General features: G+C 38.2%; 1 protein-coding gene across 1 annotated transcript in view; it reads left to right on the forward strand.

The window, feature by feature from the left end:
- CNTNAP2 (contactin associated protein 2) overlaps positions 1–19,716 on the forward strand; it is a 2,304,198-nt gene that overhangs the window by 1,848,526 nt on the left and 435,956 nt on the right. The window contains exon 15 of the mRNA NM_014141.6: positions 12,536–12,663. Within this exon, the coding sequence (NP_054860.1) occupies positions 12,536–12,663 (128 nt within the window). The remainder of the gene's footprint in view (positions 1–12,535; positions 12,664–19,716) is intronic.

The raw sequence follows: 19,716 nt of genomic DNA on the forward strand, positions 1-19,716 counted from the left end.
AGTTCCTAGTCTATATACAAAATTGCTTAATGCTAAAACTCCTCTAGTTTCTGCCCTATTGCTTCTTCCATTTCTCATTCCAACTTTAAGAGTTTAAGGTTTGTCTCTTCTCTCTCATCTCCCATTTAATTATCAGCTATTGAACTTTTTCTTCATGACATTACTAGATCCCTTTGTGTCCCGTCCACCGATGATCTCCATATTGATATAGCTGATGTACATGCTTTAATTTTTTGATAACGGACATTTTTGCAATATTTAACATAATATACCACCTCACTCCCACCCCACCCTCCAGAAGCTCTCTGTTCCCTTGGCTTATAGTACATATAATTCTTTTGGTTCCTTCAGAATTTTAGATCCTGTATTTTCAACTTCTTTGGTTCATTCTTCTTCTTTCATGCTGACACTGACAGTGCTCTCAAGGCTCTTTCCATGGCTGCATTCTGACTTGCATTTAGTCCCAGTCACTGAGAGATATTTTGAAGTTCTGTTTTTATTTGGGCCACCTCACCCTGAAGAGTAAGTACTTTTCATTGTTGTAGCTGAGGTGGTGTGCCTTTTTCAAACGTCTACGTCCCACAGCATCTTCGAGATATTGATAACATAAAAACAAATATCGATCATCCTAAGGGCCTTACAGACTTCAGAGATGGGTAAAAGAAACCACTTCCACCTTCAAATCAGTCTTTTGTATCCACTAGGGGAGCAAAATGACCTGCTGAGTTGAAGTGGGAATAACAAAGTATCTCAAAGATGATGTGATGTTTGTAGAGAAAAGTTTGTGGCAGTAATCGATACAGGAATCACTTATATGGATCTGTGTTACTTGGAGGGGGCTTTAGAAATGGCATCAAGAAGAAAAAAAGCAATGCTTCTTGGTTTAAAAAATAATGCTTTTATCATTGAAAAATAGTACCTTTTAAGATGGCCAAATCCCCAAAATAAAAATTCAAAGCATATTGTACTTCCTTCTGAGGCCAAATGCATCAGAACTAATGCTCTTTTGAGAAAACCATGCTATTTAAGCAAAAATTTAGGGAGTGGAGAGTCCGATTATTGTTTTTCATGAGTGTTGAAGTCTATGGAAACAATGAAGGAATGTACAGAAAGTAAATTAGATAAAGATTTGATTTATAAAAATTGTCCAGGTTTAGAAATTTTTATATATCCAAACAGAAGTCATGAATTAGGTTTCCCCAGGCTGTGAACTAGACTAAGGTGGCATGTACCCTCACATTCCAAAGCTGAGTGCCCTCTCTGTCCGTGTCACCCAGTTACCCTCCTTGGGTGACATAAGAGAAGCCCAACAATTCCTGGGGGTGTCTCAGAGTCCAGCAGGAAAGATTTATTTGCAGAGTTGAGATGTCAGCATATTCCGTCTGCCCACAACCATCATCACCATCATGGGAGTGGACTATCGCTGTTTAGTTTCAAGGGAAAGAAACATGGATGTGTGGAATGAAGCCAGCCATGAGCAACCTTTAAAGGCACCCACCCAGGGGCCATCAAGGCAAGAGTGAGGAGGAGTGTGAACTGTGCAGAAACAGAGGGGAGTTGTCAGTGGCTGGGTGCACATGGCATTCCAGTTTCTGCACTTATTTATTGGTTATAAATAACGCTTCAGAAACACCGAGAAGTCCTAGACTATTCACTCTAATTTTAAAAGAATACTGGGCCATTATAAGGGAAGATTTTCCCCTTGACTACTTTTGAGATGCCAGGAGTTGGCCATTAATTGCTAGATATGAAAACACATGGAAATGGCAAAGAGGCTACACATCAAGCATTCCCTCTACTAATCATGCAAATGAGTCATGATGTACAAAATGTAAGGAACTCCTGTTTAGGGAAAATATGAATGTAGATGCACAAAGTAAAATGTATGTAGTCCAAATTAGTCTTCTAGCCAGTAAGGCAATTTTCCTATATGATAAAAAGAATGGATTTTTATATCATTTAAAGGAAATACATTGAAATTATTTTAGAATTTAAAAAATGTAAACATGCATCTTTCCTTCTTAAACTCTAGAGTATCGGAGATTTGATCTGTTTTTTTCTAGCTCAGCTATTAACTGGTTGAATACCTTAGTCTAGGCATTGTTTTATTCCTAGTCTATTACCTCTGAAAAATGAGGGTAGTAATTAGATTATCTCCCAAAATATTACTGTTCTAATTGCATGTGGGGAAATTGCGTAGAACTACAAAGTCTTGTCATACAACCTACATTAACTGGTTGAGTACCTTAGTCTAGACACTGTTTTATTCCTAGTCTATTACCTCTGAAAAATGAGGGTAATAATTAGATTATCTCCCAGAAATTTACTGTTCTAATTGCATGTGGGGAGACTGTGTAGGACTACAAAGTCTTGTCCTCAAAGGGCTCACACTGCATATCTACGTGAAGAAATATTGGCCCAGATAAACTAACCAACTTACTTTTACATAGAGACAGAGCCAAGGTAGGGTTTGCCTTTGCAAATCTAAGTCTTGTACCCCTTTCACCACGTTAATGAGATATGGATCTTCTAATTAAATATTAATTTCTAAAGAAATAATAAGCCCCAATTACAGAAAAAAAAAGATACTAAAAATATTTCAAGAGCATTCAAGGAGCTTCAATACAAGAAAGGCTTGTTGTTGGGTTTTTTTCATCTCTCTCCATTGATAGTTAAGTACATACGGGTAGCTATTTTAGAGCTGCGCCTAGTTAACGTCTATGTTTATTCATGTATTTATTCAATCATGAAACACGTGGAGCCGGCCACTTTTATTTGAATCCACTTTAAATAAACACTTTTGTGTTGATTGTACAAAGTTCCATGAAACAATATATCTGCCCTCAGGGAACTTGCTTTCCAGAAAGGCAAATCAAAGAAAAACGTTTTGCAAAGAATCCCGAAATGGTTACAAGGGCTTTCTAAGAGAAGTCTAAATTGAACAGATAATTGTCTCACATTTTGTAAAAGGCCTAGACTATTCTCACTGAAAAGCAGTAATTGAATCTGTAATTACTTTCATTTCACTGGGGACATAGGCATGGATTCTAAAGATCTCATTGTCATGGTTGTTTTCTTAATCACTCTCATTGCTTCCTAGCAACACTAGCTTCCTTCCTTCCATGCAGGAAAGCTCAACAGTCAATGGTGGGCAAGGACACTATGAGAAACATTTAATGGCACCCACCCAAGGCCCATCAAGGCAAGAGTGAGGAGGGGTGTGAACAGAGGGACCTGCCGCTTATTTGCCTTTCTGATGATCCAGCCCCTGTTTGTTTTATGAACAAAGGCTTTAACTTCTGACATAGAAGCGATTTTTGAAAATGAACGTAAAGGAACTGGCAAACTCAGCCCATGGGTTTCCCTTTTAAGAACATGAAATCACCTCCTCATAATCATTTCAGTGATGCCAGGAACGTTCCTCTCTCTCTCCCATTCACCCTCCACCATTCACAGAGATTTGATTTCTAGAATTTTGTCAAAAGACAAAATTGCACAAAAAATTAAAGATCTAATTGGCTTTTATTAGCAATTCTCAAATTGGGCAACACCCCACTCTATAAACTGGAATAGCTGTCCCAGTGCCCTGAGTAGAGGAGATTGGCTTTATAGGCAGAAAAGGTCTGAAGAAAGCAGAAACAAGGAATAAAAAGTGGATTGGTCATTTCAAAGTTACTTTCCTTGTAGGGTTAAAACAGGGGGATCTCTTATCATGCCAGCTCAGGCAAACTGGTCTCCTTCTCTCTTTTTGGTTTTGACAAAATGTCTTGCTCTATATGGTGGTATGATCTCAGCTCACTGAAGCCTCGACTTCCTAGGCTCAAGCAATCCTCCCACCTCAGCCTCTTGAGTAGCTGGGACGACAGGCATGTGCCACCATGCCCAGCTAATTTTTAGTATTTTTGGTAGAGACAGGGTTTCGCCATATTGCCCAGGCTGGTCTTGAACTCCTGAGCTCAAGTGATCCTCCCATCTTGATCTCCCAAAGTGCTGGGATTAAGGGATGAGCCCCCACGCCCAGCCAAACTGGGCCCCTTCTGATTGATGACTATGACTCTCCTGTTATTTGGAAAACTGGTGGCTTTCAAAGTTCACGTTAGTTATGTGGCACCTAGCACAAGTGATTGCATGTTGGTTTGGTCTGAGTTGTTGGGACCTACTGCAGGGCCTACTCCAAAACAATGGCCTCCCATAAACCCTGTATGACAGTCTCATTAAGGCATTGCTTCTACTTAACTGGTTTGTTAAGTGGGAGGTTTAAGGTTTGTCACCTTTTTCTCTGAGAGCAGGTTTTAGTAGAGACTTGGACAGAGGGCATGTAGCAGAGAGGATACAGAAAGATGGAGCTGAGAACAAAATAAATACAATAAACTAAAAATTCGCCATACTTTTAAAAATATTTAACAAAAACTAACTTTGGCTTGAGTTATAGGTTTCCTCTCCTGTTTTATGTGCATTAGATACACACTTTTAACAATTAGATAGTTTTTGGTATTAACCATGAAGTAGCATCTTATTTCTGGGTAAAGTCTGTCTATTTTTTTAAGTTGTTTTAAACTTTTAAAACATTTTTTAGTTATGAATTTATTTTATTTTATTTTATTTTATTTATTTTATTTTATTTTTGAGACAGGGTTCTGTCACCCAGGCTGGAGTGCGGTGGTGTAACCTTGGCTTGCTGCAGCCTCAACCTCCTGGGCTCAAGCAATCCTCCCACCTCAGCCTCCCAAGTAGCTGGGAGTATTGATGTACACCACCATGCCTGGCTAATTTTAAAATTTTTTATAGAGACAGGGTCTCACCATTTTGCCCAAGATAGTCTTGAATTCCCACCTCAGCCTCCCAAAGTGCTGGGATTACAAGCATGAGACACCATGCCTGGATGTGAATTTTTATTTAAGAGATAGAAAGAATAAGAACAACCCAAAGATTATTTAATAGAAATAACTAGACATTAATCAAAAATCTTTAGTGTAAGCCATTAGTAAAATAACTTTCCAGGAAAATTCTTATAGGTTTTTACCTTTTGACCTACTTTTTCTAAACACTTGCTATGGAAAAAGTACAGTGTATTTGAGGATGATTGTTAGGAGGCAGAAAAGGTGGAGAAAAGAGAGGCTGGGCTCAGTGGCTCATGCCTATAATCCCAGCACTTTGGGAGGTCAAGGTGCGCAGATCACTTAAGTCAGGAGTTCAAGATCAACCTGGCCAACATGGTGAAACCCCATTTAAAAACAAAAAAAGATGGAGAAAAGAGATACAAAGATTTAGAGGTAAAGTGAACTTAATTGTCTGAACAAGAAATCAAACAAAAGACTCCAAAAAGTTTAGAAGCCATCCTTGAGATGCAGATTTAATGCTAAAAATGTTGGCATTTTCAGAATATTACAATGATGAATGTTGACAGTCAAACAGAATTTTATTGTTAAGCTTGTCCTGGAAAAACCAAGAATGTTTGATTGTCTGTGATTGAGACACAGTCCCTAAATCTAGTTTGGAAAAGTGACAGATGTTTCAGGTTGGGATACAAAAGACAAATTCTAAATAAGGAATGAAGGAGAGAAGGAAACATGGAGGAAATTGGTGGGACATTCTGTGCCATTTAAATATCTTGACTCTTGTTAATGAATGTCTATATAGAGGTCAAAGGTGAGGAAAACAGACAAATCATGGGTATCTAAGAAAGGTGTGTTTTCTATCCAGGAAGAAAGGTCAATGGAATACATAAATATAGTGATATAAACTTTAAAGGTAGGAAAAGCCCTTAAAAACAGAGTCAGTAAAGATTTTGTAGTCCCTGGTTCATAGTCACAAAGTAGAAGACACCAAAGCCAGGAAATACACCACTTTGTAGTTCATTACCCTGCTACTTCTAGTGAGATGTGTGCAAAACACTTGTCAGACCTTATTGCCAATTGGCATTTGAGACTATCTACAGTTCTTTTTTTTAATAACCTCATTGAAGTATAATTTAAATACCATAATATTCATCGATTTTAACTGTACATTAACTGTACAAGTGTACAGGTTTTTTTAGTAAATTTTTAGAAAATTCATTGAGTTGTGCAACAAATCAACACAATCCCAACTTAGGACATCAACATTATCCCTATACGATTCCCGGTTACCATGAATTTCTGTTTCTACTCCCAGCCCGACAACCACTAATCTCCTTTCTGTCCTGGTAGATTTCCTTTTTCATATCAGTAAAATTAGAATATGTGATTTTTTTGTGTGTCTGGCTTCTTTCACTTAGCATAAGGTTTTTGAGGTTTGTTCATGTTGCAACATGTATTCAGATTTCATTCCTCTTTATTGTCTAATAATATTTCATTGTATGTATTACCATACTTTTATCCATTCACTAGTTGATGGGCACTTGCGTGATTTCCACTTTGGGCCTCTTATGACTAAATCTGCTATAAACATCTACCTAAAAGGCTTTGTGTGAACATATGCTTTCATGTCTCTTGTATAGATATCCAGAAGTAGAATTCTTGAGTCATATGGTGTGTCTATGTTTAACTTTTTAAGAAACTGCCAAACTGTTTTCAAAAATGACTGGGCACAGTGTCACTTTAGTGTAATCCAAGCTACTTGGGAGCTGAGACAGGAGAATCATGACTTTACAGCCCACCCCCCGAGCAATGTGTGATGATTCCAGTTTCTCCAAATCCTTGTCAACACATGTTATTGCCTCTCCTTTTGATTATAGCTATCTTGGTAGTGTGAAGTAGCATCTCAATGTAGTTTTAGTTACATTTGCCTAAGGAATGATAGTATTAGGCTTCTTCTCATGTGTTTATGTTGTATTTGTACTTATATCTATGAGATATCTTCTGTAGCTATAACTTTGACTTCCTGAATTCTGTCCAGAAATTTCTAGTTTGGGTGATGCTGTGATGGAAATGCATGAAAGTATGCAGAGTAAACATTTTTTAAGGGTTACTAAATAATCCTGAAACTTCACAAAAGAGAAGTCCATCTACTCTGCTAGAATTACTGTATAGGAAAACTCAGTGTAATCATTTTCATAATATTTGGTAGAAGAGCAGGCTTATTGTAAAAACTGGGGATGTTTATTTTTCTTTAGGGCTTCATTTTTCTACTTTTTCATTAAGCTAAGGATAAGATTAAACTGCCTGGAGGCTTCTTTGCTTTCTCAGCACAATAAAAAAGTCAAGGAAAGACAGCAAAGCAAGACAGAATTCTTCAGAAAAACAATACTGAAGGGAAATAACAGTAACACCAGGTTAGAGAAACAAAATCCATAGAATCAAGCTTTACTTGAGTAACAATGCTGATGGAAATAGCATGTAAGAGTCTTAGTTCAGGGCCTATTGGAAATGGATGATAGAATTTTTCCAATGTACAAGCCCACTAACAGATATAATTAGCTTATTATGCTAACATGATAAATAGTTACTGAATATCTCCCTAAATTAGATTGACCTCAATCTGTAAGGATCGTAACTTTCAACAAAGGCTCGTTTTGCTTGCAAAAAGATTCACACAAGATGCTCAGATGGACAACATAAAGGTATTTCAGAGGACCCCTCTCCAGAAACCAAATTGGTTGTGGAGGCTAGGCACAGTGGTTCACACCGTGAAGCCAGGAGTTTGGGACCACTCTGGGCACAAAAGCAAAAGCAAGACCTGTCTCTACAAAAAAAACATTTAAAACAGTGGGCGTGGTGGCATGCACCTGTACTCCCAACTACTCAGGAGGCTGAGGCAGGAGGATCACTTGAATCCAGGTTGAGCCTACAGTGAGCTATGATTGCACCACTGCACTCTGGCCTGGGCAACAGAGCAAGACCCTGTCTCTAAAATTAAAAAAAAAAAAAAAAAAAAAGTAGGTTGTGCTGTAGGATCACAAAAACTTTGTGCTGGTTAAACCACTTTACTGCCTTTCATGAATTAGTTTCCACAACTAATGTAGAGTCCGCTTCTTTGAGAGTTTCACATGCCATTGCTTGTGGCTTTCCATTCTCTGGATCCCTGTTTAGATCTTTGGTCAAAAGTGACCAAGGAGGCATCTTTATACTATTTTCTCCTTTTATTATTTTCTCAGCTGACAATTCTTTCCCTCTTTTGTTGATTGGGTAAGGAATATCTGAGTGTTATTACTACTAGCTATACGGCAACCTTTTATAAACTTCAATATAGCATTACAAACATTGGTTGATTTGGGCATGAGGTAGTTCTAGAATTCTTTTTTGCTTAGTATGGTATATTGATAGATTAGGGGTAAATGTGAATAAAACATTGCAGATATCTTTGAATTTATGACTTACAAGTAACCTCAATATTTCAGCCTAGCTAAAGACATCTTTAAAAGGTAATTTTCACCTCATCTATAAATGAGAGTTAAAAGGAAAATTCTTTTAATTTACATAGTGGTGTTTTGGCTTATATTCTGTTTTGGTTTTTCCCCTTTTTAAGACGAAAAGTCCAAGGAGGGGATCCAGATAGTGTGAATCTGAATCCAGACTGCCACTGGTAAACTTTGTCTAGCTAAATTCTCTGATTCTCATTCTTCTCATCAGTAAAATGAGAATAATGTACATTATCTCACTTAATGATTATTATTCTCACTTAATGAATCATGATATTAAATTTTCAGTATCATTGACCAATAATGCAAACATTTTCATAAAACGTGGCTTATAAATTTCTATCATCCCTGATGTTAATCAGTTTTTCTTGCAAAATAATTAAGTAATGCCTGCTTTTAGTATTAAAAATTTTTTTAAGTTCAAAACCTACTAAAAGTCTACATTTATAAAATTATTACAAACACTTAAAAATTATATTTCCAAATTATGAGAGTGTGTAGATATGTGAATTCCTATAAGGTTATACACATATCAATTTGGGCAATACAATTACATAATAATTGGAATATTTCCAAACACTTGTTTTAAAAATGCTTTCTCCTAGCACTAGTTTCATAAGAAGGTAGTACACTGTCACTCATCATATATAAACCAACATTACTGGCTGGGTGTAGTGGCTCACACCTGTAATCCCAGCACTTTGGGAGGCTGAGGTGGGCAGATCCCCTGAGGTCAGGAGGGCAGATCATCTGAGGCCAGCACCAGCCTGGCCAACATGGTAAAACCCTGTCTCTACTAAAAATACAAAAATTAGTCAGGTGTGGTGGTGGGCACCTGTAATCCCAGCTACTAGGGAAGCTGAGGCAGGAGAATTGCTTGAACCCAGGAGGTGGAGGTTGCAGTGAGTCGAGATCGTGCCATTGCACTCCAGCCTGGGCAACAAGAGCAAAACTCCATCTCAAAAAGAAAATAATAATAATAATAAAATAAACCAACATTACCAAGTGCTGACAATGATCTTGAGCAACCTGAATTTTCATACATCCCTGGTAGAAATGTAAATTGGTACATGCTTTTGGGAAAACTGCTTGAAATTATCCACTAAAATTAAACATGTGTACTTTATGACCCAGCATTTCTACTTTTAGGTAAATGCTTGACATAAATGAAGGCTAATAAGTAACACATCTATAAGAACATTCATAGCAGCTTTATTCATAATAGCCAAACACTGGAAACATCCAAATGACAATAGAATATTCATTCTTATTGTTGTATTATATTTTATTTATATAATACAATCTTTTGTATTATATAATACAAATACATGCAACATGTATTATACAATTTTTTGTATTACATATAATACAATTTTTTGTATTACGTATAATACAATTTTTTGTATTATGTATAATACAATTTTTTGTATTACGTATAATACAATTTTTTTGTATTATGTATAATATTTTTTGTATTATATATACTATTTTTTGTATCATCTAAATAAATATTTAAAGTTGGGTAGAAGGAGCTAGGCACAAAGGAATGCATAGTGATTCCATGCACATAAAGGTCAAGAACAGGCAAAGCTCATCTATGATGACAGTAGACAAATTTATGGTTACTTCTGATGGAGTGTACTGATTGGGAAGGGCATGGGGGGTGCTTCTAGGGTGCTGGAGCTGTTCTAAATCATTATGTGGGTCATGGTTGTACAGGGGTGTGTGTGTGTGTGTAAAATTCATTGAACTGTACCTTTCAGATTTTCATGATCATTATTCATTTCATTACAGAATGTCATAGAGATTCCACCATTTAAAGACCTTGTTTTTATAAAATTACCCATACTATCTTATAGATGCTGGAAGGGTTAAACAATGAGAGTAGCCACAAGTAGCAGAGCACCTTCTCTTCCTACAGGATAGATCTCACTTGTACCAAAGCTGACATATGACTGCCTGCTATGTAATGCACAGTAAATTTAAAAATTTATTATTAATTAAATTTATTTCTCACTGTTACAATAAATAAATTGAAGTGTAGATGGTTTCTGTCCTCTTGCATGTTTCTTTGCATTTATTCTCAGTACATATTTTTGCCCCCTCTTTGGTCCCTTCCCAAACCCCTTGCTCAACTTTGGAAACTTGATTGAGTTACACAACAGTTGCCTACCATGATAGTCAGTGGGATATTTGCTCAATAAATTTCTAAAGCAAAAATGGACAATTATGCCCCATTATGAGTTAGAATTGGCAAACTCTATAAAGGACCACATAATATACATTTTAGACTTTGGGGGGGTCTTATGTCTCTGCCATAGCTTCTTACCTCTGTAGTTGCATCATACATAGACAATACATTTTTTTAAATGGCTGTATTTCAATAAAACTTTTTTATGAACACTGAATTTTATAGCATCACAAAATATTTTTTCATCTTTTTTAAAACCATTTAAATTGTGAAAATTATTCTTAGCTAGCTTTTGAGCCATACAAAAAGAAGTGATGGGCAGAATTTGGGTCTCAGGACTTAGTTTGCAGAGCTCTGATTTAGAGTCATGTAATTTTAAGTAATAACTTGAATCTCAACCTTCAGTTCCATCATTTCTAGTAGGTTATCAAATTACCATATGCTGTTAGAGAGTGCTTTTATTTATTGTTCCTTTAAGAAGCACTAAATATTAAGTTTAATATCAAAGGCTTTGTTTCCTCTTTGGCATGATTGTAATTCATAAGACTTCTAATAAAAGAGGGTGGGTTTGTAAAAAATTCCACAGATATTTGAGGCCTAGTCATTAGTAGCTACAGTGTCAATAAGAATCACAGTACTTTTCTGCATTATCTTAATTCTGATTTGATAAATAATTATTTTTTAAAAACCCTTCATTTTGAAAACAATGAAATAACTAAGGCAGTATATAATGCATTTATTTGAGGCCAACTGGCCAAGTTCTGTGACTCCTTCCTGGGTTTCTATGGGTCCTGACACATGAGGAAACAAATATTCACTGACATTCAAGAAGGTCAGAGGTACAAGTAACTGCTCCACACTGCATAGCATTTTCAAGACAGGCCTCCAAGTTGGTTCCTCTCCATTCCCTGCACTATTTGCTAAGAGACATGAATGATAAATCTTTACATCATTGAACTGTCTGTCTCATTCTCCTGTCATCCAAAAATCAGGGTGGGATTTTTCTGATGAGTTCTATGTGCAATTTCAAAATTGTTATTTCTATTCAGACTGAATAGTAAAAAATCATCTGAAAGGGTAAATTTGAGGAATGACATCACACTGCTTTGTGCCTCCCACCCATTCACTCCCAAATGAGGGATCCCTCAGCCACAGCAGCAGAAAAAGAGGACAAAAGGCCACTGATTTTCCATGAAGGTGAAATCTGTGCTGCACGGGCTCCAAAACTCACTGCACATAACTCATCTTAAGCCCATCTCCAGGAACCCCTCCTGGGTTTCTATGCTCCATTCTAGAGTCAGTACTTTGCAACTAGCCTTGTCTTTCCTCCTTTAGGATGGATACAGGGTAGACTTGGGAGACCTGAAACAAGATAAATATAGAGTCAACAGAAGAACAAACTCAGGAGGAAAGCCAACTGGGCTCAAATCTCGGCTCCACTCTTCATTGTAGATGGAAATAGACACTTATTGAATACCTGTTCTGTGCTGGAAACTTCACATAAACTGTTCCAGTTGTTAAACTAAACAAGAAGAGAGGAAGGAACAAAAGGTGTCCCTTATTTAACTCATGTACAATAGGGAAGAAAACTTCTGAAGGAACTGCTTCAAATAGGGTTTTGTTTCACATATTATTCAAGCGACCAGGTTGACTTTGTTGAACTTCTGATTCCATGACAACAGCAAACTCTGCATGTGTGCTCAGGGTTTGACATGCTGTGGTGTACTCTCTACCTAAAAGAGTACGCAGCATAATGGTTGTGAATCTCTGGAAATCAGGGTGTCGCTTCTGTTTTCCAGAAGATGAAGATGCCAGAAGGGCTTCTGAGCAATGTGCTATGAGACCACCTATGGAAGAGAGAGAACAACTCTTTAACTGTGGCTTTACTTAGTAAACTTCCAAACGATTACTGAAATGTCATCATTAGACAACGTAAGCAACTAGCAGAAAATTCATATGTCTAATGCAGCCTCCTCATTCTTTTTCTGTCTTTCCCTGTGATCCAGGAGGAAGGATGCTGGTTTCTTATCATACAAAGATCACCTGCCAGTGAGCCAAGTGGTGGTTGGAGATACTGACCGTCAAGGCTCAGAAGCCAAATTGAGCGTAGGTCCTCTGCGCTGCCAAGGAGACAGTAAGTTTGCATAGCAGCTATGGCTTGCACTTTCTTATCCCATTTAAATATTGTTTCCAGGCTCCTCAGAAGATGCCTGCAATCAGACTTGCTCTCCTGTAGCTCCTACAGAAACATCACACAACCCAAGCAGAGATAACTTAGAGGAGGGGAACAGCCATAAAGCCTCCAGTACAGGAGCCGAGATTTGGGCATAAAGTGGGGATATCCATCTTTCCTCTATATTCATATGTAACAAGTTTGACTACCTAAGTTTATGATGATATTAATAGCAATGCTAATAGCATAAATGCAGTACTCAACAGCTGTGATTCCACGGAGTGCTGCTGTTAATGCCATTAGGATGACTATTTATATCACCATAAACCGAGTTTATGGTGATATAAATAGTAGCATTATGGCTTAATGTATCATTGTAAACTTGGATTATGGCCATATAAAGTTTGACATTATTGCTATCAAACTTCATCATCATCAGAGCTTGATGGTCCCTTGTAAGCCAAAGATTGTTTCTGTTAACTATGTCTTGCTTTCAAGATTAGTCACCCCAGAGAGGAATTTGGGGCTGCTAGCTTGGACAGTGGGAGGTAAGGGAGTTGGAGTGATGGTCCCTCCTAATTAAGGGCACCATTAGGATTTTATGTTGTTTGATACCCTTCGGTGTGCTTTATGTGCAGTCAGAGGGAAACAGTGACATGGTTGCACTGTGGGGATTCTGCAGCGAGCATCCTGGGCATCGTTTTCTCTCTTCTTTCTGGGACACGTGGTTTAGGCAACTCTCCTGAGAGTTCTATGCTTTTGTGATTGTGTGCTAGGCATCCGGAGACCTAGATTCTGCTCCCCAAATAGCTGACTTGCCAGGAGACCTCAGGCAAACCCCTCCATTGTCTTAGCTGTGGTAATGAGAATACCACACACATCCCAATTCCTCCTGGGGAGGCTGTGAATATTTTAGTGCCTGGATTTGGATTCCTCCTAGCAAAGCATTATGTGAGATGGAATATTATTACCACTTTGTAAATCAAGGGAGAATTAGACCTACTTGATAATAAATTATAGCGTCCACTCAAAGAGATGTCCTAAGGAACGTAATGATGCATGCTTAACAGTTTCCTACTTAGTAAATTGAGGTTGTCAGCAATTAAGCAATGCCATGTTCCTAATACAAAAGGGAGATGGACTTTGTACTGATTTTTCTCTACTTACATTGAAAATGCTACCTGTAAAATTGAGACTGGTCAAGATCTTTATCACGCACTTATTGAACAATAATACTTCATTTGTTTAGTCAGGCTTAGTAAAACTGTGCAGAAGAAATTTAATTTCAACTGCCTAAGAAAAGGATATTCACCTAAAGCAATAGTATATATGCATTTTAAACAAATATTATAAGAAATGAAATACAGTGTTGCTCTAAAATTAGGAAGACTGTCATGTGTTGTCTAATGAAAATCATTTTTGTTATGGAATAATTACTCATTAGCATATAAAGGTAAAATATTTCTGGCTTACCGATTCTAATTCTGAAGTTAGCTTTGAATTTGAGAAAGTGTTCCCATTAAATAATTGATTAACTTAATATATTTATAAAAATTCCACTTCTGCAAACTTTTTTTCTTGTCTGTTTTGTTTTGCTTTATTTTCTTTTTTTGAGACGGAGTCTTGCTCTGTCGCCCAGGCTGGAGTACAGCGGTACGATCTCAGCTCACTGCAACCTCCGCCTCCCAGGTTCAAGTGATTCTCCAGCCTCAGCCTCCCAAGTAGCTGGGATTACAAGCACACGCCACCATGCCCGACTGATTTTTGCACTTTTAGTAGAGACGGGGTTTCACCATGTTGGACAGACTGGTCTCGAACTCCTGACCCCGGGTGATCCACACGCCTCGGCCTCCCAAAGTGCTGGGATTACAGGTGTGAGCCACTGTGCCCAGCCTTCTGCAAACTTTTATTACCATTCTTAAAAAAAAGATTCTAGGAACATTAAATAGTAGATGCTGCAGTATATGAGCACTTTATAATTAATATTAGCTTATTTGTTCTTAATAAATCAGCCTCAGGAAGAATTTATTGTGAGGCTGTCATTCATCTAGAACTTTCCTAGGTGCTCTGGAAAGTAAGAAAAAGAAGTTCAAACCATGTTATGTGAAATGAACATGAAAAAATATTGGAAAACACAAATTGGCTTATAATTTAATTTTAGGCTTTGTAATATAAAATTATTGCAACTGATAATCAAGAAAGGAGCCATAGAAGGTGTATTTCAGGCAGACTTTCTTTTTAAAAAAGAGAAAATGAGAAAAGTATAGTGGTCATTGTTCATTTGCATTTCTATTCTAGGGCTGTTGTTCTTAGAAACATTTTTAGAACCTATTATCAAAATAAACTTATTTATTCACATTACATGATCTCAGTATACTTATAATTACTGTAACTTCAGAGAAACTCTTTTAAATAATATTTTACCTGATATTTCATGAAAGCAAAAGCAGTCAACAGTTAATGGCAATTATGTAGAATACTTTTGTGTCTGTGTGAGAGAGAGAAATCTCATTGTTTTCCAGGCAACCGAGAATAAGTATCCTACCTGGTACTCGAATTGCCTGGTAGCAGTCAGCAGTTGTGAAGCCCATGTTCCCTTTAAGAATGTTCTCACGGCCGGGCGCGGTGGCTCACACCTGTAATCCCAGCACTTTGGGAGGCCGAGGCGGGCGGATCACGAGGTCAGGAGATCGAGACCATCCTGGCTAACGCGGTGAAACCCCGTCTCTACTAAAAATACAAAAAAAAAAAAATTAGCCGGGCGTGGTGGCGGGCACCTGTAGTCCCAGCTACTCGGGAGGCTGAGGCAGGAGAATGGTGTGAACCTGGGAGGCGGAGCTTGCAGTGAGCAGAGATTGTGCCACTGCACTCCGGCCTGGGTGACAGAGCAAGACTCCATCTTAACAAAAAAAAAAAAAAAAAAAAAAAGAATGTTCTCACATGGACACAGTAGTGATAGAGTGTTCCGTATCAACTGCATTTTCCAGTTTTTATACATATGTGATCTCCCTGGTTACACACAGCCTCCTGTGAATTGGGCAGGGCAAATATTAGTCTTTCTGCCTTACAAATGAAGAAAATACTTCTTTGAAAATGGCATTTACACAGCAAATTTCTGAGCATACTTTCAGCCTCTGAGAGGCTTCAGGACAAAAGATGGAACAGAGAATAGAAATAGCTGTGTCTGTACAAGGTCAGAGTTGTTTTCCCAACTGTACTCTCATCCCTGAGCCAATTGTTGATTAAATTAAAATGCCTTAAAATGTTTCATTTGGGTTTTATCCCACCACTAGCCTCAGCCACACATGTCAGTTACCAACATAGTACAAACATTATAGGGATTACATTTATGTAATTTAAAAAGTGGCATAGTGCATTTTTCCTGCTGTTTATAGAGATGAACTTACTTTGTGTCATTTACTGAAGTCTGTTCAAACCTACAGCTTATAAAGACTAAACCTATTGTTGAAAAATATCTTTCAGTTTGAGGAGTTGAGTGATGACAGCCCTCAGAACCTGCCTCTTGAATTAGGCCCCAGTTCCATCCTCTAGTCTCAGAGAATGAAACCATTTTTGTGGGCTCTGCCCAACCATTTCAGCAGTTTTGGTTGATTTCATCATGCCTGCTGAGTTTCATTTTTGCTTTGATTCGTCTGAACTCAGACCCATATAATCAAAATGCTAAAGAAAATCAGTGCATGCCACTCAGATCTGCTGCATTTCCCATATAGTTCTGTGAAATGCTTATGTCCTTACAGGTGTGTGTGTGTGTGTGTGTGTGTGTGTGTGGTTTTTTTTTTCTTTCATTCTTTCTTTTTTGCAAAGCCTATCCAAATGGAAACTTCAAATCAAATGACACTGAAAGTATGAGTGGTGACGGATGGTTCGCTGAAATAAAAAGTGCTGTGAAAATACAAATCCCCCTCTTAAACTACACGTACGCACCTAGAAAGAAACAAAAGAACCATTTGGAAGATTAAAAATCAATGATCAGGTAGACATTGTTTCAAATTGAAATATGTAATCATCTTTGCAGATGGCTGCCAAACTTTCATACTTTCATGAAATTAGTTAAAAAAATAAAAGACTTCCACTTTTTGGAGGTAGAAATCTCATACTATATATGACGAATATAATTAATTGTAGGAATATAGTATTTGCTAGACAATTGCTTTATTTTCAGCCATATGATGTAAAACTTTACTGTACTCCTCTAGGGATACGGGGACTGTAAATAAATACTTTGGAGCAAGTTTGTCAGAACCATAGGAAAGGTTTAAAAAAAAATCAAATGTTTTCAGTAAACCTGGGTAGAAACAATTCCAGAAAATGTCTTATTCAAGGGCTTCTTCCAAGGCCATGCCAGAAACACTGGCTGTGAAGCTGGCAGACAGAGCACTGGAGTCACACTGCAGGATTAAGATGCAAATTCAGTTTCTCAGAGCTACGGAGGTGACCCAGAGAGACAAGGAAGGAAAGGCAAGGCAGTAGTGACACATCTAGTTCTGGAACACTCAGAGGACAGACAAAGCTGTGTGTAAACAAATAAAGATACTGATGGAGATTCATCAAGATGATGGTGAATATTTGTTCTTTGGGAAAGTTATTTTATGTGCCAGACTAATAGGAAGGCCATTATCTTTTTTTTGCAAGAATTTTACAAACCAGGATCATAACCTGCCATTCCCTTGACAGGAGAGATAAGATGGCCAGGCATGGTGGCTCACACCTGTAATCCCAGCACTTTGGGAAGCCGAGGCAGGCAGATCACTTGAGGTCAGGAGTTCGAGGACAGCCTGGCCAACATGGTGAAGCCCTGTCTCTAATAAAAACACAAAAATTAGCAGGGTGTGCTGGTGGCCGCCTGTAATCCCAGCTACTCAGGAGGCTGAGGCAGGAGAATCATTTGAATCCGGGAGGTGGAAGTTGCAGTGAGCCAACATCGTGCTGTTGCACTTCAGCTTGGGTGACAGTGTGAGACTCCACCTCAAAAAAAAAAAAAAAAAAAGCAAAAACAGACAAGGCAATAAGGCAATGCCTCGGTCTCCACGTTGTTTCTGTACCAATGAAACATTTCCAACAGGGGCGCACATGGCAGTAACTCTCTTTCAGAAGATAATACCCACGAGCATACATAGGCCACATACTCTGTGCAGTGAATAGGGACTGAAGGAGAAACCACTTCTCATCTGGGTTCAGGAAGCAATTCTCCTTATTGAGAGGAAGCAGCTCTCCAGGCTCCAGAGAAGAGTTCAAAATTTATTTATCTCCTTTTTCTTTGCTGCTTCAGGCTTGGAAAAGGCAAGAAAGGAAAAGGGACTAGCATGCAGGTTCTAAACCAATCACTTTCGATTCATTTTCTCTCTTGATTCTCTCAACATCCCTTAATAGGTGATACTGTTGACAAAAAAAAAATAAAAATAAAAATAAATAAATAAAAAAGTACCCTGTAAAATATTTAAAGAGGTTTATTTAAGCCAAAGATGAGTGGCCATGGCCCAAGGTACAGGCTCAAGAGGTCCTCAGAACATGTGTCCAAGGGCTACAATTTGGTTTTTATATGTTTTAGAAAGACATAAGACATCAATCAATATATGTGAGGTATACATTGGTTTAGTCTAGAAGCAATGTGAGAGTGTGGCTTACAAGTCATAGGTGGATTTAAAAATGTTCTGGTTGGAGATTGGTTAAAAGAGTTAAGTTATTATCTGAAGGTCTGGAATTGATAGAAAGGAGCATCTGGGTTAAGATAAGGGGTTGTGGAGGTCAAGGTACTTATTATGTAGATGAAGTCTCCTAGGTGGCTGCCCTTAGAGACAATAGATGGCAAATGTTTCCATTTAGACCTTTAAAAGGTGCTTAGACTCTCAGTAAATTTCTTCTGGATTTTGAGGGCCTGGAAGGGGAAAGATCTAGTTATGTTGATAGAGATTATTCATAGATGTGAATTTTCCCCCACAAAAAAACTGCTTAGCAGGGTCATTTCAAAATATGGCAAAGAAACATGTTTGGGTGTGAAATCTTTTTATTTCTTCCTTTTTCTGTCATGTGATGTTATGCTAGAGTCAGGTTAAAATTTGGTATCTTATTGCTACAGTCTGTAAACTGTCATGGCCCTGGTGGAAGTATGGCAGTGAGGACAACCAGAGGTCACTCTTGTCGCCATCTTGGTTGTGGTGGGTTTTAGCCGGCTTCTTTACTGCAACCTGTTTTATCAGCAAGGTCTTTGTAACCTGTATCTTGTGCCAACTTCCTATCTAATCCTGTGACTTAGAACTTCTAACCACCTGGGAATGAAGTCCAGCAGGTCTTAGCCTTATTTCGAGATGGAGTTGGTGCTTAGATTTTTAGTTTTGGTTCACAGTACCTTTGACTCCAGTGTACTGATGAGGAAACAGAAACAATGTTATTAGGTGCTTTGCCAATAAGTTTCAGAGTTCAGACTGGAATCTACCTAGTTCCAAAGTCCTCCTTTCTACTCTATTCAATCAGAGCTGATGTTAGGATAAAAATGGGAAGAAAAAAAAATCTCTTATGCTCTCGGGGAGTGGCTGGGTCTAGCTGTTTGCTAATGAGGGGGTCTAGGGAAACATCCCTATTGCCCTGTGAAGGGTCACTGAAAAACCAACTCACAAGGCAGGTTAATAGAAGAAAAGGCATGCAAATTTTACTACAGGGAGAATCACAGAATGATTTCTCACCCCCCAAAGGAGTTCAGAAGCTTATATATCATCCTGGAAAAACAGGTTTTGGGAGCAGGGGAGGAGAGGAACTTCACTTTCACTGTCAAAAGGACTATTTACTGGCTGGGCGCAGTGGTTCATGCCTGTAATCCCAACACTTTGGGAGGCTGAGGCGGATGGATCACTTGAGGTCAGGAGTTTGAGACCAGCCTGGCCAACATGGTGAAACCCCATCTCTACTAAAAACACAAAAATCAGCTGCGCATGTTGGTGCGCACCTGTAATCCCAGCTGCTCAGGAGACTGAGGCATGAGAATCGCTTGAACCCAGG

The sequence above is a fragment of the Homo sapiens genome, chromosome 7 (assembly GCF_000001405.40).
Source record: "Homo sapiens chromosome 7, GRCh38.p14 Primary Assembly".
Lineage (NCBI taxonomy): Eukaryota > Metazoa > Chordata > Mammalia > Primates > Hominidae > Homo > Homo sapiens.